The sequence below is a fragment of the Homo sapiens genome, chromosome X (assembly GCF_000001405.40).
Source record: "Homo sapiens chromosome X, GRCh38.p14 Primary Assembly".
Taxonomy (NCBI): domain Eukaryota; kingdom Metazoa; phylum Chordata; class Mammalia; order Primates; family Hominidae; genus Homo; species Homo sapiens.
Genome location: NC_000023.11, coordinates 47,489,110 through 47,515,379, shown reverse-complemented (window position 1 = coordinate 47,515,379; position 26,270 = coordinate 47,489,110). Strand labels below are relative to the sequence as shown.

General features: G+C 43.3%; 1 long non-coding RNA gene and 1 pseudogene across 1 annotated transcript, besides 2 other annotated features; both read left to right on the top strand.

The window, feature by feature from the left end:
- On the top strand, positions 1,519-18,444 carry LOC124905183 (uncharacterized). The gene is made up of 2 exons (XR_007068224.1): positions 1,519-1,678; positions 18,200-18,444. It is a non-coding gene; the product is annotated as an uncharacterized LOC124905183 (long non-coding RNA).
- Positions 1,609-2,108: an enhancer, noted in NCBI's record as "H3K27ac hESC enhancer chrX:47372671-47373170 (GRCh37/hg19 assembly coordinates)". NCBI's record gives its function as "activates a minimal SCP1, AML or CMV promoter by ChIP-STARR-seq in naive H9 embryonic stem cells {active_cell/tissue: H9 hESC(naive)}" and the evidence as "EXISTENCE:reporter gene assay evidence [ECO:0000049][PMID:30033119]".
- NUS1P1 (NUS1 pseudogene 1) lies at positions 1,720-5,585 on the top strand (annotated as a pseudogene).
- Positions 2,109-2,610: an enhancer, noted in NCBI's record as "H3K27ac hESC enhancer chrX:47372169-47372670 (GRCh37/hg19 assembly coordinates)". NCBI's record gives its function as "activates a minimal SCP1, AML or CMV promoter by ChIP-STARR-seq in naive H9 embryonic stem cells {active_cell/tissue: H9 hESC(naive)}" and the evidence as "EXISTENCE:reporter gene assay evidence [ECO:0000049][PMID:30033119]".
- Positions 18,445-26,270: the final 7,826 nt, after the last annotated feature.

Sequence of the window (26,270 nt, the reverse complement as noted above, 5' to 3'; positions counted from 1 at the left end):
ATGTTTTGGCAGGGATGAGGGGACAGAGGAACTTCATGTCCAGTAGTTGAGAGCAGCTCAGACTCCAATAGTTGATCTGTTGGTTTACCTTTTCCTACTCATGCCTGCTCCTGATAAGCTGTGATTCTCTGTATTGCTGTCTTTCCACTTTTTCAGGGCATCAGTTTGCCCTGTGCCCTCAATTCTCTGACAAATCTGGGAAGAGTTGTTTTGTTTCCGTTTGTTCAGCTCTTTTTCTTGTGAGGATGGGAGTGACAACTTCCAAGCTACAAGATAGTGACTGGTGGGCTTCTGGGATATGGGTGCTCTAGGGGTCAGTGGTTAGAGGCCATATGACTGGTGCCTGTGGGGTAGCTTTTGTTCCATGTGGTCTGGGTGGGGCCTTAGTCTTATGAAATCTATGCTTCTTAGTGATTAAGTGTTTGTAATTAAGGGGTTTGGGGATGAAGTAAGTGAGTTTTGGGGGGACAGTAGATGGAAGTGATTATGGATCAGTGTTTGTTAATCAACACCAGATCCTGGGGTCAGTGTTGCTGAGCGTGTGAAGCAGTGATTAGGAGCCTTTGGAAGTCAGAAAACAGGGTGTTCTATGGAGGTGATTTATAGCGTGTGTACTGGGCCAGTGATTCACAGCCCAGAAATGTCAACGATTGCATCTCTAGGAGATAATTATTAAGAAATAGAATATATGACTCTTGAACATCTATAACAACTCCTTCGTGGTGGGTGGAGCAGACTGTGCATTGTAGGATGTTTAGCAGCATCTCTGGCTTCTACAAACTAGATGCTGATAGCACCTCATTGTGAAAATCAAAACAAACGTCTACAGATATTCCTGAATGTCCCGTGGGGGGCAAGACCACCCCCTGTTAAGACTCACTGCTAGACTCTCGGCTCAGCCTGGCATGGTGGCTCACACCTGTAATCTCAGCACTTTGGGAGACTGAGGCGGGCAGATCACCTGAGGTCAGGAGTTGGAGACCAGCCTGGCCAACATGGTGAAACCCCGTCTCTACTAAAAATACAAAAATTAGCCAGGTGTGGTGGTGCATGCCTGTAATCCCAGCTACTCGGGAGGCTGATGCAGGAGAATCACTTGAACCCAGGAGGTGGAGGTTGCAGTGAGCCAAGACCGCGCCCCACTGTACTCCAGCCTGAGCAACAGAGCGAGACTTTGTCCCATTAAAAAAAAAAAAAAAAAAAAAAAAAAAAGACTCACTGCTTTAGAGAGAAGGCCAAAAGCTCACACTGAATATAAATGATTTAACTCACCTAATAATGAAAGAGGATCTCAGATTGGATATATGAATGAAATAGAGCTATATCCAAGCTTAAGGATGGGAATACTTGTAATGGAGAGGTTGAAAATGAAAAAGTGGGAGACGTTTTCGTAAGCATGTTAGGTCCGGTTATGCAGTTCACTGCTGCCCTACACATTCCAATTTGGGGAAGTGACTGGAGGTTAAAGGTCATGAGAATTCAGTTCTGGAATATAGAGGAAGATAACGGTGGAGTGATGTATTCCAGGAGAGCGTGTGGTTGATGGGAAAGTTTGGAGTCTTCATCATGCTGTTAGCAGGCAGCAGATGTTTCATTTCGAGGATGTCTGTGAAAAGACAAGCATCCTTGGCCATGTGGACTGACTTGATTTTAAAGTGAGGTTTGGGGCTGGTGGCAGGTAAGCTGCTTTCTTCTATTCTTTTTGCTTGTATAAAATAGAAGGCATGGGAAGATGGCGGCGGGGGCGAGGTGAGATGTTGGCAGTGGAAAGGGGTTCGGGCTCGGGGGGCGGGGGGACGCGGAGCGATGGCCCGCGCGGCCGCAGGGGCGGATAAAAAGCCGTCGCGCTGCGGGAGTGGGCGGGAGGGAGAGGGGTTGTCCGAGGGCCACAAGAGTATGACGGGGCTGTACGAGCTGGTGTGGCGGGTGCTGCACGCGCTGCTCTGTCTGCACCGCACGCTCACCTCCTGGCTCCGCGTTCGGTTCGGCACCTGGAACTGGATCTGGCGGCGCTGCTGCCGAGCCGCCTCTGCCGCGGTCCTAGCGCCGCTCGGCTTCACGCTCCGCAAGCCCCCGGCAGTCGGCAGGAACCGCCGTCACCACCGGCACCCGCGCGGGGGGTCGTGCCTGGCAGCCGCACACCACCGGATGCGCTGGCGCGCGGACGGTCGTTCCTTGGAGAAGCTGCCTGTGCATATGGGCCTGGTGATCACCGAGGTGGAGCAGGAACCCAGCTTCTCGGACATCGCGAGCCTCGTGGTGTGGTGTATGGCCGTGGGCATCTCCTACATTAGCGTCTACGACCACCAAGGTATTTTCAAAAGAAATAATTCCAGATTGATGGATGAAATTTTAAAACAACAGCAAGAACTTCTGGGCCTAGATTGTTCAAAATACTCACCAGAATTTGCAAATAGTAATGACAAAGACGATCAAGTTTTAAATTGCCATTTGGCAGTGAAGGTGCTGTCTCCGGAAGATGGAAAAGCAGATATTGTAAGAGCTGCTCAGGACTTTTGCCAGTTAGTGGCCCAGAAGCAAAAGAGACCCACAGATTTGGATGTAGATACGTTAGGCAGTTTACTTAGTTCAAATGGTTGTCCTGATCCTGATTTAGTATTGAAGTTCGGTCCTGTGGACAGCACATTAGGCTTTCTTCCCTGGCACATCAGATTGACTGAGATTGTCTCTTTGCCTTCCCACCTAAACATCAGTTATGAGGACTTTTTCTCTGCCCTTCGTCAATATGCAGCCTGTGAACAGCGTCTGGGAAAGTAGTGGTCATTGGTTGCGTAATTTGATTTGAGGCTTGTGGAGGAAAGGACCCAAGTGACTCTGATGTTTACAAAGCACCTATGAAACCCTGTACACACCTGGTTCATAATCCTCATAATTTATCAACAAACACAAAAAAGTGTCTTACTTGAGAGTGAGTGTGTGTGTGTGGGTGTGCACGTGCACACATGTGCACGTTTGTATGCATGGAAATAAACTTATAAATGGGGACGTATTGGAGAAGGAAATACATAGACCTACAACTTTGAGCAAATAGCAGTGATGTTTTAGGAACTGAAATGTCACACTTAAAGTCTTCAGCCCAGCTACTTCCCTATTTTTGTGGGGAGAAGAGGGCCTGATTAGAACTGTTCTGGTTGTGTTTGGCGGGAGGGGAATAATTTTTGTTCAGTCCTTCTTAGTGACCAAACTTTAATTTTTAAGAATAATATATTGACTTACTGAACTGAAGCATTCTGAGTTGAAAGGAGCTCCAGAGGAGTGGAGTTCTGTGTTGCTCACATGTTAAAATCTTGCTCACCTTCAGAGCAGAGGGAATACCTATCTTCAGATATCCGTCCATTTTCATCTCTTAATTGTAGTCAAAAGTATGACTTGAGAGTGTTGCTCTGGTATTCTGGGTTCTGAAGTCTGGTATTCTGGTATTCTGGGTTCAAAAGTATGACTTGAGAGTGTTGCTCTGGTATTCTGAGAGTTGCTCTGTATTCTGGGTTCTGAAGATTATTTGAAAAATAACTCCTACTACATTGAAATGCAGACTTTTAAAAATTTAAACATTGGATTAGGCAGTCAAAAAAACCAAGCAAGCATAAAAGGTCAATAAGTTGTAATCTTGATAGTAAAGGTGGAAAACTTATTATAAATGGAAAGAAAGTTTTGGTTTCCTTTTTTGTTTGATGGGCAGTATGCCATATTATACCCAAAGTTCTTTTAAAAAATATTTCCATCAACCATTTTTATTTAAAATAAACATTTGAGGGAAGTTACCAAGGCAGCTTTTTTCCTCAAAAGTAACCTGTTCCTCTTTGGAATAGCACATTTTAGGGGCATGGTTAATACCTGAGATTTTTACTCAGTAAATCCTGATGGTTACTGTGTGTAAAATATCTTTAAGTAGGATTGAAGGCCTCTGTGGGGAAATAAAATATTACCAAAGTCTATAAAAATAAATTTTACATGTTCTCTTTTATGACAGAGAGCAGCACTGGTTCTGTTATTTTTAAAATGAATAATTGATTTCTTGATAGGTGTTTAATATTTCTTCCCTCACTGCTGATTCTTAGATAGAAACCATTCTTTATATTTGATAGACTGTTTTCAGAAAACCCTTATCAACAAGTGTACAATACTTATCTAAAACTATACATTTAGAATGGAGCAGTTTAATACTAGATCTCAGAAGTTTTGAAAAATAGCAAAGAAGACTGGATTTGGAAAGCATGGTCTACAATTGGTTGTTAAATTCTGAAGCTATGAAGAATAAATGTTTCAACTTTGGATTATGAAACCCCATTTATGATTTTTTAAATACACTTGAAATAAAAATGATTAAACTAAATTTTGGTCCAGTGACATTACTTTGCACTGCATAATCCATTATACATTGTACGACTTTTTTTTTTTGTTTTAATTTATTACTGAGAGTTTTGTGTGAAGCTACAGCATATCTAATCAGAGAATTTCTGATTCCTTATACTGTGATTATATTATATTGAGGCATTTGTAGTGCCGCTGAAGACTGAATTTATGCCTTTTGTAAACATGATAGGTATAAATGTCTTATAAACATTCTGGAGTATGTATAGCTTTAATGAATGAAATTTAATGGACCTGATTAAAATGAAGGGATTTAATCGTTGTTAAAGTTAAGTTAGTCAAATAAATTACCTACTGGAATATAGCCCAAGCCAGTAAAGGTTTATTATTTGCATTTTCATGCTTTTATTTTCTCCTTCCATTCATAAGTATATACTTGAAAGTACATCTGTAGCCTATGATTTGAGTCTATTGAAGTTCTAGGAAGAGGCAAACTACAAACTACTAGGATTCTGATTTCAGATGTAGTCATTCCAGAACCTTCTCTTTATGAGTTCACCTGCTAGTACAATCTCCACAACTTGAATGGCATTGGTTGTTCTATAATTCCTGCCACAAGCATCACAAGTTGTACATCATCAAGGCTCCCTTTGCACTCCCAAGAAGAACTGGTAATTTTAAACAAAAGTATGTGTCTTTATTTGTATTGGAAAATACTGTCTTTAAATTGTTTCTTGTTGACACTCCCCACAATGGAAAAATTACCGAATTAAACCTGTTTTATGGATGGCAGCTTGGAGCATAGCAAGAAGTTGGAGGATTTGAATTCCATTCCCAGTTCTCATTGTGTTTTGTTTCTTAAAACTATAATAATCGGTTACTGTTATAAAGTTTAAAAGGTGGTTTTAATGTGAATAGCAAATTCTGGTATATCGTGACTAACGCTTAAGAATGCCTGTCTTTGAGAGGAAGGTGTTATAATATTAATGAACAGTGCCAAATACACTGTGCATATCTGCAATTTAATCTTTGAATGTATGTTACTGGATTAGCTCCCTCCTCCTGTGTGATGGTACCATGCATAGAGTCAATCAAATCCTTGTGATGTTTTGTATGGACTTTGACAACATGTAAATAATGTGTAAAGCCAGTTTTTATGATTAAGGAATCAAATTTATTGAATTTTATTATTGAAAGTTGAAACTTAACATGTATGAACAAAAACCAATAAAAGAATATACTCTTTTCATTGAAAAAAAAAAAAAATAGAAGGCATGGCCAGGCGCGGTGGCTCATGCCTGTAATCCCAGCACTTTAGGAGGCTGAGGCAGGTGGATCGCTTCAGCCCAGTCCAGCCTGGGCAACATAGTGAGACCCCGCCCCGAACCAAATTTTTTTTAATAAAAAGAAAAGAAAAAACATAAGGCAGATTGTGCTCCTGGCATGAGGGAGTAAGGAGGTTGGCAAGTCCTCTCCCTGGAAAGCAACTCTAAAAGCTGGGGAAAAGTGTCAAAAGCAACCCTTTCAGTATTCTGGAATTCAGCTGAACACATAAGTACAAGCTGAGAGGTGTTTTATTCATCGAAACGACTCAACTTTGGCTCAGAACAGTGAGTCTATGGTGGGCTTTTTCCCAGTGTGGCTCCTATCCTTCCTCCAGCTTTGTCAGTGCCATGGTTCAACCAGGACAAGGGAGGCCATGAAAACAACAGGCTTCACTGCCGCTGCTGGAGATGGCTAACCGCATTTGGAGCATGGTCATTTTAAGTAACTGTCTCCACAGCAAGCAAATGGAGAGGGCCAGCAGCACCCTTAGATTCACCTTACAGCCTTTTTGGGGCAAGCAATGGACTGATCTGCTGGGAATTGAACATGGAGATCTGGAATGTAAGCAATCCATGGAGGACTTGACAAAGTCTCCCTCTATCTTGGGCAGACTGGAGACCATGCACATGGGTAGCAGGGATCACAGCAGACCCAAACCACCCCCATATCCGTGACCTTCTGAGCCTGTGGATGCACAGAGGAGACATGAGCAAGCCTGTCAGAAAGTAAAAGCCAGGTCTGGCTTGTAAAAGGCCTGAGGTTTGAATGTGCTCCCCGGGGCAAAGCAAGTCAAAGATGGCTTGACATGATTGAACACAACCTCTGATCAACCTTCGGTTGAACACCAAGCTGTACAGACAGGGGATGACCCCTAGAAAGCCAGCCTTAAGGATACAAAACAAGAAAAAATCACTGAGCAGAGACATCAGCAGCTGTACCTTGCAGGGGAGACAGACTTCACAGATTTCATTCAGCTGTAGAATCTGGACAAAATACCAGAACCAGCTATTTCAGGGCTCAGAAAAGTAAATAGCAGGAGGACTGAGGAAGAAGATCAACATTTGCAGTAGCACTAAAATGTAGTATTCATCCTTTTTTCCCCCTCCAGTATTCTCCAGCCTGAACTTAAGGCAGATTGAAGCCCAGAAGTGAGCACTATGGTGCAGACAGAGATCTAGGGAAGCCCTCTAGCTCTGGCTTGAGAAATAGGAAAGAGAACTCCTAGAGCTCAGAGACAGTATGAAAATCCTCCACTATTTTATTTTCTCTTGTCTCCTGTGTCCAGGCCCCTAAGCAATCTCATGGTAGCCTTGGCAGTGGCCAAATGGCACCTCATAGGAGCCACAACTCTGAGGGAGGGGAACCCTCCTCTGCCATCTGTGGAGCTGTGGTTCCAGGAAGGTGGGGCCTCTTTCCCTCCCAGAAGGGAAGAACTTGGTAAAGTGGCCCCATAAAATTGTTTGTGGCCAGGCATGGTGGCTCATGCCTGTAATTCCAATGACTTGAGAGACTGAGGCAGGAGGATCACTTGAGGCCAGGAGTTGGAGACTAGCCTGGGAAACATAGTGAGACTATCTCTAAAAAAAAGAAAATTGTGGCCAGGCGAGGTGGCTCACGCCTGTAATCCCAGCACTTTGGGAGGCCAAGGCGGGCGGATCACTTGAGGTCAAGAGTTCGAGACTAGCCTGGCCAACATGGTGAAACCCCATCTCTACTAAAAATACAAAAATTAGCCGGGTGTGGTGGCGGATGCCTGTGATCCTAACTACTTGGGAGGCTGAGGCAGAATGGCTTGAACTGGGGAGGCAGAGGTTTCAGTGAGCCAAGATCCTGCCATTGCACTCCAGCCTGGGTGACAGAGTGAGACTGCATCTCAAAAAAATAAAATAAATAAATAAATAAAATAAAAGTTGTACTGGGATGAACCTTTAGGACATTATGCTAAAAGAAATAAGCCAGTCACAGAAAGACAACTACTGTATGATTCTGCTTATACGAAGTACCTAAAGTAGTCAAATTTATGGAGACAGAAAGTAGAATGGTGGTTACCAGGGGCTGGGGAGGGGAAATGAATAGTTGTTGTTTAAGGGGTACAGAGTTTCAGTTTTGCAAGATGAAAAAGTTCTGGAGATTGGTTGCACAACAATGTGAACATACTTCATACTACTTAACTGTATACTTAAAAATGGTTAAGATGGTAAATTTAATGTTGTGTATATTTTACCACAATTAAAATGTTTAAAAGATATATTTGCCTGGTAAATTTGATATAGGCCACTATGCTACATACAATACAGTATACAAAGTTCAGTGAGAATTAACTCTAGATTTTAGTCATGATGGAATACTGGAAATACCAATGACAATCTGGGTAGAATTAATGACAGTTTCAATTCCAGCTCTTCCTCTTTTTAGGCATGAGAATATTAAAAAGTTGCTTCATTTTCACTTCATCTTAAAAATAAGTATGAAAATTCTTATCAGTCAATGCAAAGATATTTTTCGACAAAGAATACTGTATAGAGAAGTTACCAGTAATGTTCTAGACTTAAGGCAAATAATCAACAAAGTTCTCTCACTTTAGAAGAGAAATCTCAAACGAGTAATAAAATAATATCAAGCAGTGACTCCTGCAACATATGCATAAAATTGAATCTAAATGGATGATGACTGGGCATTTGGGTTTGTTGTTGTTGTTTTTGGAGACGGAGTCTTGCTTTGTTGCCCAGGCTGGAGCACAATGGTGCGATCTCTGCTCACTGCAACCTCTGCCTCCTGGGCTCAAGCAATTCTCCTGCCTCAGTCTCCTGAGTAGCTGGGATTACAGGCACCCACCACCACACCCAGCTAATTTTTGTATTTTTAGTAGAGACAGGGTTTCACCATGTTGGCCAGGCTGGTCTCAGACTCCTGACCTCAAATGATCCTCCCGCCTCGGCCTCCCAAAGTGCTGGGATTACAGGCGTGAGCCACTGCGCCTAGCCATGACTGGGCATTTGAAATAAATATTTTCTACCATAAGGAAAAAAACAGTAATAGCTCAGGACTTTATTTTTATTAAAGTAAAATAAAATATAGCTACATAAAGCCGTGTAACACCAAAGTGTAGCTTAACTGGTTCTTACAAGGCAAACACCTTAGTAACAACCACCAAATTCAAGAAAGAACTCTGCCAGCCAACCCAGAAGCCCCATCCAATTTCAACTCACCAACCTTGACCTTGACTTTATAGTAATTACTTCCTTGCATTTCTTTATATCACCCAAGTGTACATCCTCAAACATTACATGTTAGTCTTGCTCATGAAAAAAAAATGATTTGTTTTTTAAGTCTCTTTTACTTTCAAGGTCCTCACTCAAATCTGGATTTTTCACAGCCTGGATTTGGGTGATTGCATGTGCATGGCAATATATTTCTCTGTACTCCATGTTTCCTGCAAATTGGCAGGTCAATGCAGGGGCCAGATCTGGTTCAAGCTTAATTCCTTTAGCAAGACTACATGTGCTCTCATCAGGGGGCACAGAATGTCTGGTTGTCACTCTTGTGATGTTAGCAGCTGAGATGCTTCAATGCCTAGAAGATCCATGAAATTGATTGGTGGTTGCAAAATGGTGATATACAAATTCCAACCAACAATTCTTTTTCATTTATTAATTGCAACACTTTTATAGAGATGCTTTTGTTCATTTATCATTTGGTTACTGATACTACAGTTTATTTAGGAAAGGCAACATAAATGCTTTATTCTTTGTCCCTTTATCAGTTTTCAAGAAAATGATTTGGTTCCCTATCATTCCCCAAAGGTAACTATTTTTAAAAAGATCATTGTGAACTCATGAATTTAAGCATATTAGGCAGGTTTCAGTCAAATTGCATTTATTAACTTCTTGAAGCTCAAATTATCTCATCTGCGGCCCGTGAGAGACTCCTGGAGTTGGCTCCCACACCCTTTTGACTTGACCCTAATAGATATTAACAGCTTTCTCACTATCGGCTCTTATGACAAGATTCCAGGATTATCTTGTACATTTCCAGTACCAGATCTGGTACTGATTCCTTTTCATGGGAAATGGAATGTCAAGGCCACAATTTGGGTGCCAGGGTTGCTCATTACTGCTGTGTTGGTCGTTGTTTGTAGGCCTCTTCAGCAGACAGAGCTATGAAGTGTGTGTGTGTGTGTGTGTGTGTGTGTGTGTGTGCACATTCTTTTTAAAAATAAACTGTTGTGAGATCATATTGATATGTCCAACTCAAATTCAGGAATATAGGTTTTTTTTTTCCTTAAGCTCTCTTTTATATTGTATCTGTATTCCATTTCTTTTTTTTTTTTTTTTTTTTTTTGAGACGGAGTCTCGCTCTGTCACTCAGGCTGGAGTGCAGTGGCGTGATCTCAGCTAACTGTAACCTCCGCCTCCCGGGCTCAAGCGATTCTCCTGCCTCAGCCTCCCGAGTAGCTGGGATTACAGGCAGCCGCCACCATGCCTGACTAATTTTTTGTATTTTTAGTTGAGACGGGGTTTCATCATGTTGGCCAGGCTGGTCTCAAACTCCTGACCTCAGGTGATCCACCCGCCTCAGCCTCCCAAAGTACAGGGATTATAGGCATGAGCCACCACACCCGGCCTGCATTCCATTTCTCTCACAACAAAATTACAGGTTCTCATAGACGCAGGGATGATAGAATTGGAATATCTCATAATTATTAATTTATCCCATTCTGTTGGGGGGTCCCAGGGCCACCCCCCATGTTCAGTGACTTGCTGGAAGAACTCATAGCACTGAGCATAGCATATAATTGTCCTCACAGCTAAGGTTTATGACAGCAAAAGGATATGTGACAGAATCGTCAAGGTAAAAAGACACAGGCAGAATGTGAAGGATGCTGTACACAGGCCTCCTCATGCTGTCTCCCCCTCGCAGGAGGCTTGCACAGAGCTGTCCTTCTAGCAACAAAAATCCAGGAACACATGTATAATGCTTCTCCCCAGGGAAGCCCATTAGAGGTTTGGTGCCCAAAGGTTTCACTGGGGGCTGGTCACTAGGCACCCTCTACCTAGTGCTTACCAAAATTCCAGGCTCCCAGAATGAAAGCCGGTGATCAGCAGAAACCACTGTTTGCACAAACAGGTTGGGAAGAGTAAGCCATCCTTATCAGTTAAGGAATTCTGGGAATACTCCCGAAATCCAAGTTCCTAATTGCCAGCCAAGGGCCAAGCTTGTAAGCAGGACTTTCAAAGGACAATAGTTACAGGACTGCTATGTTAACCCCCTTCTGCTTAGTCCACCCCTTGGTCCTGGCATCTTCACAGCAAAATTATCAGTAGGACCCCATGCAGCCAGGTGAGACCACCCTGCAGATTTAACCTCACTTATACCCTCCAGGGGTCCTGGATTTAGCCAGTTAAAACAAATTCCAGGTGGGGCACAGTGGCTCACACCTGTAATCCCAGCACTCTGGGAGGCCAAGGCAGCAGGATTGCTTGAACCCAGGGGTTGGAGGGCAGCCTGGCCAACATAGTGAGACCCCCTGTGATGGTTAATACTGAGTTGTCAACTTGATTGGATTGAGGGATACAAAATATTAATCCTGGGTGTGTCTGTGTGGGTGTTGCCCAAAACAGATTAACATTTGAGTCAGTGGGCTGGAAAAGGCAGATCCACCCTTAATCTGGTGGGCACAATCTAATCAGCTTCCATCGAATATGAAGCGGGCAGAAAAATGAGAAAAGAACAACATGGGCCTAGCCTCCTAGCCTCCATCTTTCTCCTGTGCTGGATGCTTCCTTCCCTTGAACATCGGACTCTAAGTTCTTCAGTTTTGGGATTGAGACTGGCTTTCCTTGTTCCTCAGCTTGCAGACAGCCTATATATATACACATATATCCTATTAGTTATGTCCCTCTAAGGGAACCCTAATACACCCCCCATCTCTACAAAAAAAAATTTTTTTTTAATTCAGCTGGGCATGGTGGCATGCGCCTGTAGTCCCAGCTACTTGGGAGGCTGAGGTGGGAGGATCACTTGAGCCCAGGAGTTTGAGGCTGCAGTGAGCTGATCACACCACTACACTAAAGCCTGGGCAACAGAGTGAGACACTGTCTCAAAATACACACACACACACACACACACACACACACACACACACACAAAGAAAAAAAAATCCATTAACCAGAAAAGTTCATCTTTGAAAGTCAGGGGGCTTCTTCCTTAAATTTCTGTATTATCCCCTTTTTGCCCAGCCTGCCACATCAATTCAGGCTCAGCACCACTCTGGCCAGTAAACTGAAGCTGATGTCAATGTCTTCCAGGCTGAGGCAGTGTCAGGACAGTTAGGGTGCACATGCAAGTACAATCCCAGAGGGAACACGTGATAGCCCTGGAAACCAAGAGTTTACAATTGTTCAGGTACCCCGAGCAGGGCATACATTAGTCAGACAGGGCAGGTTAACAGGGTTCCCAGTGTGGCCTCCCACGGGGAAAACTCCCACCGAGTCTAATCCAAATAATTCAGTTTGGTCCTTGGTTTCAGCGGGACTGCCCAGAGGTAGTCAGGTTCCCTCAGTTTTGCTTATCCGTGACATCAGTTCATCCCTCTCATGTGTGTGGATGGCATCTGCAGGTGTTCTGCCGGCAAATCACAGGAGCAGGTGCCACCCCTGCTGTGTCATAGTCAGTGCTGTCAGGGGTGATCAGAGGCTCAGCAGCCAATTTACATTCAAAGCACTCACAGCAGCTTGGAAATGAAACATGGGGCATTCTTCTACAGAAAGAGGGGAAAGCTGCCAGGAGCAGTTCTGAAAAAACAAAGATCATTAATACACTCTCTACACCCCGGCACCTCCATAGGCTTTTCTTTTTTCTCCATTGTTACAAAATCAGTGAGTCTCATTCAGTAAGACTTCATGACTTACTGAAGAAATATGACTTCATATTTCCCAATCATTTTACTCTCATCCAGACCATTTGTCTGGAAGGGTTATATGCTAGAAGGAAAGAAACATTTTTCCAGGAAAATATTTTTATGCAATTTAACCAGAAAGACATATCATGTCCAGAAATAGGTCAGGAAGAATCCGGAACTTTCCAATTTTTTCAAAATGGGTTTCCATTAACTTCCCATTCCTTTCCTCCTCATCATTTACCCAGTGAGCAGCCTAGGGAAAAAAAAATCAATCTCTTGCTGGGGACAGCTGCACTGAATAATCAAACTGTTTCACTAAGATGTGTGCACTAGGAGAAAGGTGAGGGTAGTAGGCTGGGCTCAGTGGCTCACGCCTGTAATTCCAGCACTTTGGGAGGCCAAGGTGGGCGGACTGCTTGAGCTCAGGAGTTCGAGACCAGCCTGGGAAACATGGCGAAACCCCATCTCTTAAAAAAAAAATTATCTGGGTGGCAGGAGCCTGTAGTCCCAGCTACTTGGGAGGCTGAGGTAGGAGGATCACCTGAGCCCGGGAGATCAAGGCTGCAGTGAGCCATGATCGTGCCACTGCACTCCATCCTGGGTGACAGAGTGAGACCCTGTCTAAAAAAAAAAAAAAAAAAGAAAAAAAGAAAGAAAGAAAGAAAGAAAGAAAGAAAGAAAGAAAGAAAGAAAGAAAAGAAAGGTGAGGGAAATAGAGTCAGGCTATCAGTCCATTGGCACAAACTGCATCTAATCCTGAAAGCTGAATGATGCAACAAGTCAACAGCAATGAGACATCTCAAAGAGGGGCACCAGTCCAATCTGTGTGAAGTAGGTGAAGGGGTCACATTCTCTGTTATGTGTCCGTCCCCAACCTGAAGCTTTCAAGAGAAATCACAAGTTAAGAATGCAATTAGTCTCTGTATCAGAAATCTAGAGCCATTCAGCCACCCAATTTTAGATGGTTTCATGAGACCACACCCTTTCCTGTTGGCATTTTTATGTGACCCAGACAATCCGGTCAGCATCTGTATTTTCGTCATTTATAGCCCCACAGAGGCTGTCTTAAATGGGCAACAATTCAGAATCTGAGTCCTGTTCTTTGAGATGAGCCTTCAGTTCCGCACAGCTCACCGCAAGGCCGAAACAGCTGCAGAAGACAGCATCAAGTTTCAGCTCAGAGGCAGGCACAGGCAATTAGGATCTGTGAATCTGGGATTTTTAAAAAGCCCCTGGCTTTCCTTCAGTAGCAGCAAAGCTGATACAAGGAAGAGCCAGACAGCTGTATACCAAGCCCAAGTGACAAACAAGACTTTTCTAAAAGTCCTTTTTATCTTGTTCATTTTAGAGGCCAAATAGACCTACTCAAACATATGCACAGCAGGCTGAAAACCATTAGCCTCTATGGGTCAGGCAGTTCATGGCAGCAAGAGCACATTAGCAAACTAAAAGCTGTTTTTGAAAACTCCCAAAGCATGTTTCTACCCGGAGATTGCCTCTCTTTTTATGTTCTCTCCCTTTTTCCAGAGGCTCCAATGGGCAAAAATCAGTGGTTATGGAGACTTGTTCTGTTTCCAATCCTCAAAGAGTTTAAATTGCAATCCACCCACAGGCAGCAAAAAGCAAGGGAGCTCTGATTCCACAAACACTGTTTTTTTTTCTTTGCAGCTTTCCCTATTAGGATGATTTGTCTAATGTTGATGAAATAAAGCAGATAACATTTTACATTAAATTTTATCATACACCCAGATGCGACAGCCACAAAATACAAAGCCTTTGAATAAACATTCCCCTCTGTTTTCCCCAAACCCCTAGCTGTAAAATCAGCATGTTCCACAGTGAGCAGGTCTATACAAAACTACCCCCAAAGTCCCAGGAAGCTGAGAGGCCAAAGAAAGAGGCTGACATATCCAATTTCTTAGAAGGAAACATTTAATAGGGACTTGCAAACAGAAGCCATGTCTGCGTCTCAGGTAGCGGTAAGAGGAGAAAGTGGATCCCTGTGCCATCAACCCCAGACTCAGGGCTTATATACCATAGGGAAGGGGTGATTCAGAAGTGATGTGTAGAATTGAAGAACGATCACATTGAGGTTATTTAGACCTAAGGGCAGGATTTGTGGTAAGTATGTGCTCTTACACAAGGAAAGATAGCTAGACTGGAAATCTGAGAGGCCTTCCTGGCACTGGAGTTAATCTGAAGTCAACATCGTGGATTAGCATCCAAGATGGAGTTGCTTTAGTTTCCACACCGCATTTACAAGGTTAACATTACAGCTGCTGGAGATGAAGGTTGCAGTGTAAGGAGGGCTTTGAGTTGCAGAGGCAGCTACTAAGCTGTAGAAAAGGCTAGAGTGGTTTTCTTGTTTGGGGGGAATGTTTTTTACTCTTTCTCCACCTCTGGTTTATCTAAAGCCTTGCTCCAGCCCTGGGAACTGATTTAACTATTTTTCTTCCACTTGGAGGAGCGAGCAATGCAAACTTTGAACGTTCTTGATTCACCCAAAACCTGCCTTCAGAAATTTTCTGACCCTTCCCCCTCCCACCTAGGAGAGAGAGCAACTCCAATTAACTGTTATTGTCTTTTCGTTGGTTTTGTTTTGTTTTGTTTTGTTTTGTTTTGTTTTGTTTTGTTGAGACAGAATCTCGCTCTGTCGCCCAGGCTGGAGTGCAGTGGCATGATCTCAGCTCACTGCAACCTCCACCTCCTCGGTTCAAGCCATTATCCTGCCTCAGCCTCCTGAGTAGCTGAGACTGCAGGTGCATGCCACCACACCCGGCTAATTTTTGTATTTTTAGTAGAGACAGGATTTCACCATGGTGGCCAGGCTGTTCTCAAACTTGTGACCTCAAGCAATCTGCCCACCTTGGCCTCCCAAAGTGCTGGGATTACAGGCGTGAGCCACTGCACCTGGCCTGTCTTTAGTGCATAGGAAGCTCACTGGGGGGAATGTCTGGGCCCTTTTTCCTCCCAATTGGAGGAGAGAACAAAAACCAAAGTCATCCTTTGAGCTGCACTTCTTCCTATCTTTAGCCAGCATGGCCAAAAGCAGCCAGGAGATCCAGCAAGCCAACTGTCTATGACTGGATTTATCATTTTCAAATGCCACGGGTAACTTCTACCTCTCATAAGAGATAGCAAGCAGGTCAGCTGCTGTTTTACACCATAGGTAACTCCATAGTGACCCAGGCATGATTTACTCATCCATCTTCCCTCTTCTTCCCTCCCAGGAAGGCTCCCACATAGTGCACCCTCCCCCAGCATCAAAAATGCAGCAACAAGCGTGTCATGTTTCTGCCCAGAAAAGCCCATTAGAGACTCAGTGTCAAAGGTTTTTATTGGGAGTTAGGCACTAGGTGCCCTCTGCCTAGCACGCACTAATATTCCAGACTCCTAGAAGAGAGGCAGATGGCCAGCATAAACCAGATTGTCAGCACAACGTAGACACAGTGAGACACCCTTATCAGTTAGGGAAAAGTGGGAACCCTCCAGAAATCCAAGTTCCCAGACACCAGCCAAGGGCAAACCTTGAGAACAAGCTTTTCTCAGCATAACAGTCTCAGGCCTGCTCTGTTAATCCCTTTCTAGGCACCCACGTTAACCAGTCTCTGAATAACAATACTGAAATGCCCTTGCAAAAATTATAACTGAAAAAAATATGACAGTGAAAGAGATCTGAGCTAACCGACCCCATCTTGCCCTTAACCTCCAAACTGCCCTTGTTCATTCCCGGGCATAGGCCAAGCTAACTATAGGAAAAATTTAGTGTATATATATATTAATTTTTTTTTTTTTTTGAGACAGGGTCTCACTCTGTCACCCAGGCTGGAGTGCAATGGTACAATCTTGGCTCACTGCAACCTCTGCCTCCCGGGTTCAAGCAATTCTCCTGCCTCAGCTTCCTGAGTGGTTGGGATTACAGGCGTGTGCCAACATGCCTGTCTAATTTTTTAATTTTTTGGTAGAGACGGGGTTTCATCATGTTGGCCAGGCTGGTCTCAAACCCCTGACCTCAAGTGATCCACCCACCTCGACCCCTAAAGTGCTGGGATTACAGACATGAGCCACTGTGCCCAGCCTTAGTTTATAGTTCAACTTTGAAACAAAGATGGTAACAGCCCTTTCCCAAAACAAACCCCCTTTTTGCCTGGGGACCAAACAGCCTTTGTAAAACCAACAAATTAGCCACAAGAGTAGAAATTCTGGTTTAGAAGTCATGTGGCCGGAGGTCACAAAATTCCTAACCTCCACAATTGCTCCTTTTGATAACATCACTATTGTAAAACCTAAGATTGGTGCTTGAGATATTTTTCAGACCTGCATTCTTTTCTTTTTTTTTTTTTAATTCCTTTTTTCGAGACAGGCTCTCACTCTGTCACCCAGGCTGGAATGCAGTGGTGCAATCTCGGCTCACTGCAACCTCGGCTCACTGCAACCTCCGCTTCCTGGGTTCAAGGAGTTCTTATGCCTCAGCCTCCCGAGTAGCTGGGACTACAGGTGTGTACCACCTTGCCCGGCTATTTTTTGTATTTTTAGCAGAGATGGTGTTTTGCTATGTGCCAGGATGGTCTCAAACTTTTGGCCTCAAGTGATCTGCCCGCCTTGGCCTCCCGAAGTGCTGGGATTACAGGCATGCGCCACCACGGCCGGCCCCATTGTTTCATATATTTTATCATTTTTGTAGTTGTTTCAAGTGGAAGAGTAAATCTGGTTCCTGTAACTCTATCTTGGCCAGAAGGAAAAGGAAGTCTGATGTGCTCTTTCAATATGTAGTTTCAATTCTTTTTTAATTCCAGGAAGTTTTCTTGAATTATAGTTTTTAGTATTTGTTTTCATCCTTTTGCCCTTGTTTTCTTCAAGGACTCCTAGGGTATATGAATTGGATCTTCTTTTTATAACTTTGATATTTGCCATTTGTCCTCAAATACTATTCTTTTGCTTTTTAAAAAATATGTTCATCCTTTCCACCTTCTATTTCTTTTAAGCCATCATGTGTTATGTTTATTTGCTCTGTGTTCCTTGCAGTTTAATTTTCTATTCTGAAAGATTTTTTCTTTTATTTCCAAATATTTTCTGAGATCTATCATAAATTGAGTTTTTCTAGTTCTTATTTATGTTATTCTTTCATTGTCTTGCATCATTTTCTTAATGTTGTTTAGCTTGTTCAAAATAGTTGGCTATAATTTTGATCCATTCTGTGAGCATGTGTTTTCGGCATTCTTTCATTGTGTCCAAGAATGGTATTCTACCCCTTATTTTTTTATTCTTACAGCAATATTGTATGGGATTTGTCCTCTGTATATTCTTCTTTATATCAAATTAGTTTTCCTGAACTTTCAGAAGGAGGTGGGGGTTCAGGGTAGCTTTTCAAATGTCAGAGCTCCCTCTTCTGTTGTTTTTGCATAGTGCTAAAAATTATGGAAGCTTGTTTCTGAGATTCTTGGCTCTGTTTCCCCACTTTTATTTAGACAGTCTCTTCCCTTATTGAGGTAGGCCGAATAATGACTCCCCAAGAGAAATCTCTGGAACCTGTGTATGTTACCATATGATAAAAGGACTTTTGGGGTGTGATTAAGTTGAAGATTTTGAGATGGAGAGATTATTCTAGATTATTAACATAGGCCCTAAATGCAATCACAGGTGTCGTTATAAGAGGGAGGCAGAGGAAGATGACACAAATAGGAGAAGAAAATATGAATACAGAGGCATAGATTCGAGTGCTGTGGTCACAAGCCAAGGAATGCCAGCGGCCACCAGCAGCTGGAAGAGCCAAGGAATGAAGAGAGTACGGCCTTGCCAACACCTTGATCTTGGCCCAGCCATACTGATTTTAGATTTCTGGCCTCTAGAATTGTGAACAAATAAATTTCTGTTGTTTTAAGTCACCAAGTTTGTGGTAATTTGTTACACTAGCAATAGGAAACGTTTGGTAGCGAAAGTGGGGTGTTGCTGTAAAAAATACCCAAAAATGTGGAAGTGGCTTTGGAATAGAGTAATTAGATAATAGGTAGAGGCTGGAAGAATGTTGAGAAACATTATAGAAAACTCCTAGATTACCCAAAACACCCTGTTGGTAGAAATATGGATGTTGAAAGCACTGCTGGTGAGGACTCAGAAGAAGTAAAGAAGATGGTAGAGAAAGTCTATATCATCTTAGAGAAGACATGTATCATCATAAGCATGTTAGTATAAATATGACCATTAAAAGTGCTGCTGGTGAGGGCTAAGAAGGAAAATCTTATTGGAAACTATAGGAAAGGTGATCTTCATTATAAAGTGACAGAAAACTTAGCAATTAAGTTAATTGTGTCCTACAGTTATGCTGAAAGCAGACTTATAAGCAGTGAACTTGCTTATTTAGCTAAGGGGATTTCCAAGCAAAGTGTTGAAGTGCAGCCTGGTTTTTTCTTGCTGCTTATGGTAAAATGTGATGAGAGGAAAGTGATAAACTGAGAGAAGAACTGCTAAGCAAAAATGAATCAGGGCCAGGCGCGGTGGCTCCCGCCTGTAATCCTGACACTTTGGGTGGCCAAGGAAGGAGAATCACTTGAGGTCAGGAGTTCAAGACCAGCCTGGCCATCATGGCAAAACCCCATCTCTAATAAAGATATAAAAATCAGCCGGGTGTGGTGGCACGCACCTGTAATTCCAGTTGCTCTGGAGGCTGAGAATTGCGTGAACCCCGGAGGCAGAGATTGCAGTGAGCCAAGATTGCACCACTGCACTCCAGCCTGGGTGACAGAGTGAGACTCCGTCTCAAAAAAAAAAAAAAAAAAAAAAAAAAAAAAGGAAAACAAAAGAAGAAAGAAAAAGAAAGAATCAGGAGTTGATAATATGGGAAATTCTTAGCCTATCCAGGTTGCCAAAGCTACTAAAATTAGGACATTTGCTTTTAGGAAAGCATGCTCTGGAGAGAACAAAGGTATGGCTGGGTAACTTTTTGCTACTACCGAAGAGATTAGGCATGTAATTCATGGATCCTCTCAATCTTCACAGCAGAAGCCAGGAGTAGAGATGAGATTAACGAGGAAAAGCCTGTGGCCCTCCTGCCTGATAGTGTGAATCCCTGTGACATATACAGGAGATCCACAAGGTTTTCAAAGAATGTTATGCCAGCAGAAACATTGCCAGCTTATACTGAGAGACAGAGATGGAATGAAATGAAGGAAGGCTTCCAGATTCCAAAAATTCTGCAGGCAATAAAACTACTAAGCTTCAAACCTGAGCTACCCTTCAATAAAAGGGATGGAGTTTTGGGCCCATAGTGTCAATTCATGAACTACTGAGGATTATTTCAAGGCCTTGAACCCTAATGGAATCTCCCCTGCTGGGTTTCAAAGTGGCTTGGTAACTATGACTTCTTAATTCCTTCAATTTTTCTCCCTTTTAGAATGAGAATGTCTATAACTGTTATCTGATGCCTGTCCCATGCTTACATTTTGGGAATAGATAACTCATTTTCTTGTTTCACAAGGTCCACAAATGAAGGGGAATTGTCCCCTGGGTTGCCATAGAGTCTCACTGAAACCTGATTTACATGATAAGATTTGAGACTTCTGAGCTGATGATATTTAGCTAAGATTTTGAACTTGAGTCGATGCTGTAATGAGTTGACACTTTTGAGGGTGCTGGGATAGGGTGAATGTACTTTGTAGGTGGGATGAACATCAATGTTTGGGAACCACAGAGTGGATTGTGTAGGTTGAATAATGACTCCCTAAAAGATATAGTATTTGGCCATAATTTGGCATATTTGGCTATATTATTTGGCCAAAAAAAGGACTTTGCAGATGTGATTAAGTTAAGGAACTTGCCATGAGGAGATCACCTGAATTATCTAGATGAGCCCTAAATGCCATCATAAATGTTCCTATTAGAGAGAGGTAGAAGGAGATGGCACAAAAGAGAAGACAATGTGACTACAGAAGCGGAGGCTGGAGTGATGTGGCCATAAGCCAAGGAATCCTGGCAGCCTCTGGTGGGAGCAGAGCCCTGCTGATACTTGATTTTGGCCCAGTGATATTGATTTCAGACTTCTGGCCTTTATAACCATGAGAAAATAAACTTCTGTTGTTTCAAGCCACCAAGTTTAAGGTATTTTGTTACAGTAGCCAAAGGAAATGTATATGCAAGTTCAAGAGATCTATTGTACAACATGGTGACTATAGTTAATAACAATTGATATGGTTAAGCTTTGTGCCCCCACCTAAATCTCATCTTGAATTGTAATTCCCATAATCCCTATGTGTCAAGGGAGACACCAAGTGGAAGTAATTGAATCATGGGGGCAGTTTCCTCCATGCTGTTCTCATGATAGTGAGTGAGTTCTCACAAGAGCTGATGGTTTTATTATGGGTTCTTCCCCCTTCGCTCAGCACTTCTCCCTACCGCCTTGTGAGGAAGGTGCCTTGCTTCCCCTTCACCTTCTGCCATGATTGTAAGTTTCCTGAGGCCTCCCCAGCCATGCGGAACTGTGAGTCAATTAAACCTCTTTCCTTTATAAATTACCCAGTCTCAGGCAGTTCTTTATAGCAGTATGAAAACAGGCTAATATACAATGTATTGTATACATGAAAACTGCTGAAAATAGATTTTAAGGGCTCTCACCACAGATAAATATTTGAGGTTATGTATATGTTAATCAGCTTGATTTGGCCATTCTACAATGTATACATATTTCATAACATCATGTTGTGCTCCTGTGATATTATGATTTATAATAAGATATATATATATTTGGTCTTCATCACCTGATATGGTTTGGATCTGTGTCCCTGCCCAAATATCATGTTGAATTGTAATCCTCAGTATTGGAAGAGGGCCCTGGTGGAAGGTGACTGGATCATGGAGACAGTTTCTTATGAATGGCTTAGCACCATCCCCTTGGTGCTAAGTTCTCAAAAGATCTGGTTGTTTAAAAGTGTATGGAACCTCCACCCTCTCTCCCTCATGCGCTGGCCATGTAAGACATGCCTGCTTCCCCTTTGACTTCTGCCGTGGTTGTAAGTTTCCTGAGGCCTCCCCAGAAGCAGAAGCCGCTATGCTTCCTGTACAGCCTGTGGAACTGTGAGCCAATTAAACCTCTTTTCTTTATAAATCACCCAGTCTCAGGTATTTCTTTATAGCAGTACAAGAACAGTCTAATACATTCCCCATTTCCTGGCACAGAGTTCCTAAAAGCCTTGGAATCTCCAGAGTGATGAGTGACTTTTTACACTAATGAGATGATGATGACTGGTGGCCCCCAGATAGCCTCAGGATGGTGGATGGTCACCAGAAAGACCAAGACATGATTACAGGATTGAGACTTGCAGACTCACCATAAACTCTGGGGAGGGGAGAAGGGCAAAATGTTGAATTGATCACCAATGGCCAATTACATAACCAATCATGCCTACATAATGAAGTTTCCATAAAAGCCCAAAAGAACTGGCTTTGGATGAGCTTCCAGATAGTTGAACACAGTGAGATTCCTAGAGGGTGGCATGACTAGAGAGGGCATGGAAGCTCTGCACCCCTTCCCCCATTCCTCACTCTATGCATCTCTTCCATCTGCTATTCATCTGCATCCTTTGTAATACCCTTGATAATAAATAGGTAAATGTAAGTAATGTTTCCCTAAATTCTAGGAGCTGCTCTAGCAAATTAATTGAACCCAAAGAGGGGGTCATTGATTTATAGCTGGTTGGTCAGACGTGTAGGTCACAACCTGGGACTTACAATTGGCATCTGAAGTGGGGGCAGTCTTGTGGTATTGAGCCCTCTAATGGCAGTATTTTCAGGTAGCGTCAGAATTGAATTGGAGGACACCCAGGTGGTATCCACTGGAGAATCTAATGTCAGAAGTGTTATGTTGGCTGTGTTAGGGTAAGAGAAACACTGTTTCGGCCAGGCGTGGTGGCTCATGCCTGTAATCCCAGCACTTTGGGAGGCCGAGGTGGGCAGATCACCCGAGGTCAAGAGTTCAAGACTAGCCTGGCCAACATGGTAAAACCCCGTCTCTACAAAAATACAAAAATTAGCCGGGCATGATGGCGGGTGCCTGTAATCCCAGCTACTCAGGAGGCTGAGGCAGGAGAATCGCTTGAACCCGGGAGGTGGAGGTTGTAGTGAGCCAAGATCACGCCACTGCACTCCAGCCTGGGAGACAGAGCAAGACCCCATCTCAAAAAACAAAAAAAAAAAGAAAAGAAAGAAAGACTGTTTTTTCCCTCTACCTCTATTAATACCATAAATATATACAATTTTTCTTTGTCAATTAAATAATAATAAAAACAAAACAAAACAAACATGAGAGGCTGGGTGCAGTGGCGAATGCCTATAATCCCAGCAATTTCAAAGGCCGAGGTGGGTGGACTGCTTGAGCCCAGGAGTTTGAGACCAGCCTGGGCAACACAGTGAAACCCCATCTCTACAAAAAAAATACAAAAAATTAGCCAGCTGTGATGGCATGCACCCGTTGTCTCAGCTACTCAGGAAGCTGAGGTGGGAGTATCACTTGAGCCTGGGGAGGATGAGGCTGCAGTGAGCTATGATCGCACCACTGCACTCCAGCCTGGGCAACAGAGCAAGACCATCTCAGAAAAAAAACAAAACAAAAAAAATTACATTTACTATTGCCCTATCTTGCTTAATTTTTGTTTCACTCCCAGTAGTTTCTTAGTGTGGTCTGCTGTCCTAGAAGACAGCCCTGGTATGTCATCATACAGTAAAGAATTAACTTAGGAGGTCTGGGTTGTTTAAACCTTGTGCATTCCAAGGAAAGGTTTGGCCCTTGCCCCAGCTCCTGGGATATAACCTGTAAGTCAGGGGTCCCCAACTGCCAGTCCACAGACCAGTATGAGTCCAAGGCCTGTTAGGAACTGGGCCGCACAGCAGGAGGTGAGAAGCAGGCAAGGGAGCGATACTGCTTGAGCTCCACCTCCTGTCAGATCAGTGGCAGCATTAGATTCTCATAGGAGCACAAACTCTATTGTGAACTGCGCATGCAAGGGATCTAGGTTGCACACTCCTTATGAGAATCTAACGCCTGGTGATCTGAGATGGAACAGTTTCATCCCAAAACCATCCCCCTCCACCCCGCTCCATGTCCATGGAAAGATTGTCTTCCACAAAACTGGTCCCTGGTGCCAAAAAGGTTGGGGACCACTGCTCTAAACCCTTGGAATATACTGCCTGTTAAGAAATCTTTGTTTACTTGAGTGCATGAGCCATGCCAGATAGCTGTGATTCTTGGTGAGTCTTGGGCTGTGCAGTATCAGCGTGAACCTTGGAAGGACTGAGTAAGGTCAACCACACAGGTAGTTGGCCATGCCTGAAACTGACTCCAAATAAAAACCACAGACACCGAGGCTAAAGTGAGAGCCCATGGTTGGTAATATTTCATGTATGTTACCCCACATCTTGCTAGGAGAATTAAGCACTGGCCGTATGACTACACCAAGAAGGGCGAACCCAAAGCTTGATCCTTGTTTCCCCTGGACTCTGCCCTATGTGCCCTTTTCCATTGCTGAATTCTGAGTCCTTCATAGTCAATCAGTGAACCTGAGGTTGGTCCTGGGAACCCCCCAAGCACAGTCCGTCTTAAGAGTTCATAGAAGGCTGGGCATGGTGGCTCATGCCTGTAATCCTGGCATTTTGGGAAGTTGAGGCAGGAGGATCACTTGAGCTCAGGAGTTCAAGACCAGCCTGGGCAACATAGCTAGACTTTGTCTCCACTAAAAATTTAAGAAATGAGCTCAGTGTGATGGCATGTGCCTGTAGTCTCAGCTATTCGGGAGGCTGCGGGGAGAGGATTGCTTGAGCCTGGGAGGTTGAGGCTTAGGTGAGCCAAGATCATGGCACTGCACTCCGGCCATGATCCAAGAAAAGAAAAGAAAAGAAAGAAAGAAAAAAGAGTTCCTAGGAATTATTATAGTCTGCTCCAACCCCTTCCAACCTTCCTGCAGACCCCTCTCACTCGTTGCTGAATTTTGCAAAATTCCTCCCAGTTTCAGCTGCTGAATTCAAGTTGGTCTGCCATGCCCATTGGCTGTTTTGGTATTGTGTTCTCAGGTCTGGCAAATACTGCTTACTTCCCCCTGCTTTTTCCTATACAGATAATTGTACCATGAAGTTGTTGTGGCTGTTGGTGACTTGGGCTTACTCATGTGTATTTTGATATTCATGGATATTTCAGCTATCTATTGCTGTGTAAGTAAACCACACCAAAACTTAGTGGATTAATAACTATTTTATTGCTCACGAATCTGGGCATGGCTCAGTGGGGATGGCTCGTTTCTTCTTCTTCTTCTTTTTTTTAAGAGGTGGGATCTTGTTCTGTTGACCATTGGAGTACAGTAGTGCGATCATAGCTCACTGCAGCCTCAAAATCCTGGGCACAGCAATCCTCCCACCTCAGCCTCCTGAGTAGCTGGGACTACCAGCATGTGCCACTGTGCCTGACTAATATATTTTAGTAGAGATGAGGTCTTGCTTTGCTACCCAGGCTGGTCTCAAACTCCTTGCTTCACTGCTTCAGATGATCTGCCTGCTTCGGCCTACCAAAGTGCTGGGATTACAGGTGTGAACCACCACGCCCAGACTTGTTTCTTCTCTATATGATGCCTGGAGAAGCTGGAATGGTACTGGAGGATGCAAGATAATTTCATGATACGACTGAGACCTCAGTGCTAGCTGCCAGCTGGGGCCTCAGTTATGTACATGGCCTATATTTAAGAGTCTCATGCTCTACCAACTGAGCTAGCTGGGTGGCTGCCACAGCGCTGCATGACCTATTTTTAAAAAGTGTCTCATCTTCCAGGACCTCTGTCTTCAGAAGGACAGCACAGACCTCTTTACAGGGTATCTTGATTCCCCTCTCACTAAAGCAAAAGTTCAATGTCTTTTAAGGTTGGGCTCAGAAGTCCCAGAATGCCATTTCTACCATACCTTATTGGTCAAATGGAACACAAGGCCAGCCCAGACACAAAGGATGAAAAAATAGGCACCATGTCTTGATGGGAGGGTGGCAAACACATACAGGGTTGGAAATACAGCTGGCAGCCCTATCTGCAGAAAATCTGCCACACTGGGGACACTGTGTCTACTGGCCTCACCGTAAATATTACCCATGGGTTTTGATTTTGTCATCTGGTTGCTCTGTCTGTATGCTGGCATAACAAGAGAGTGAAAACTACGCTGCTGTCATCATGCTTCCAGCGTCTCTTCTAATTAAAAAAAAAAAAAACTCAGAAAAAAAAAGATCTGTTCTTTTCTAAGAACAGAAATTTTGGGTGAGGGCAGAATGAAGAGGTAAAAACATTCTAAATGGTTCATTCTCCTGAGAAATTAGGAGTAAAGGCCAGTAACACACCTGTGTGTGTGTGTGTGTGTGTGTGTGTGTGTGTGTGTGTGCGCCCATGTGTGTGCTTAATCTACCAATAGAGAAAATGTGAATTATGCTTATAAGGAATGGAAAGATAATCATCAGAAGAATTGATAAGCAGAGTAGAACTTCCAAATTACTAAGGGAGGGAGAAGGGGAATAAACAGAAGCTTGAGAGAGCCAACAAATGTAAGAAAATTGAAAAGGTGGAAACAATAACAAAATCGAAAAAAGGAAACAAAGTCCGATGGAACACACAAAAACAGGCATATCACTGATAAACTGAATGGATTGGGTTCTCCTATAAGAGAGGGACTGTAACATTGGGTTATAAAACAAAAGTTA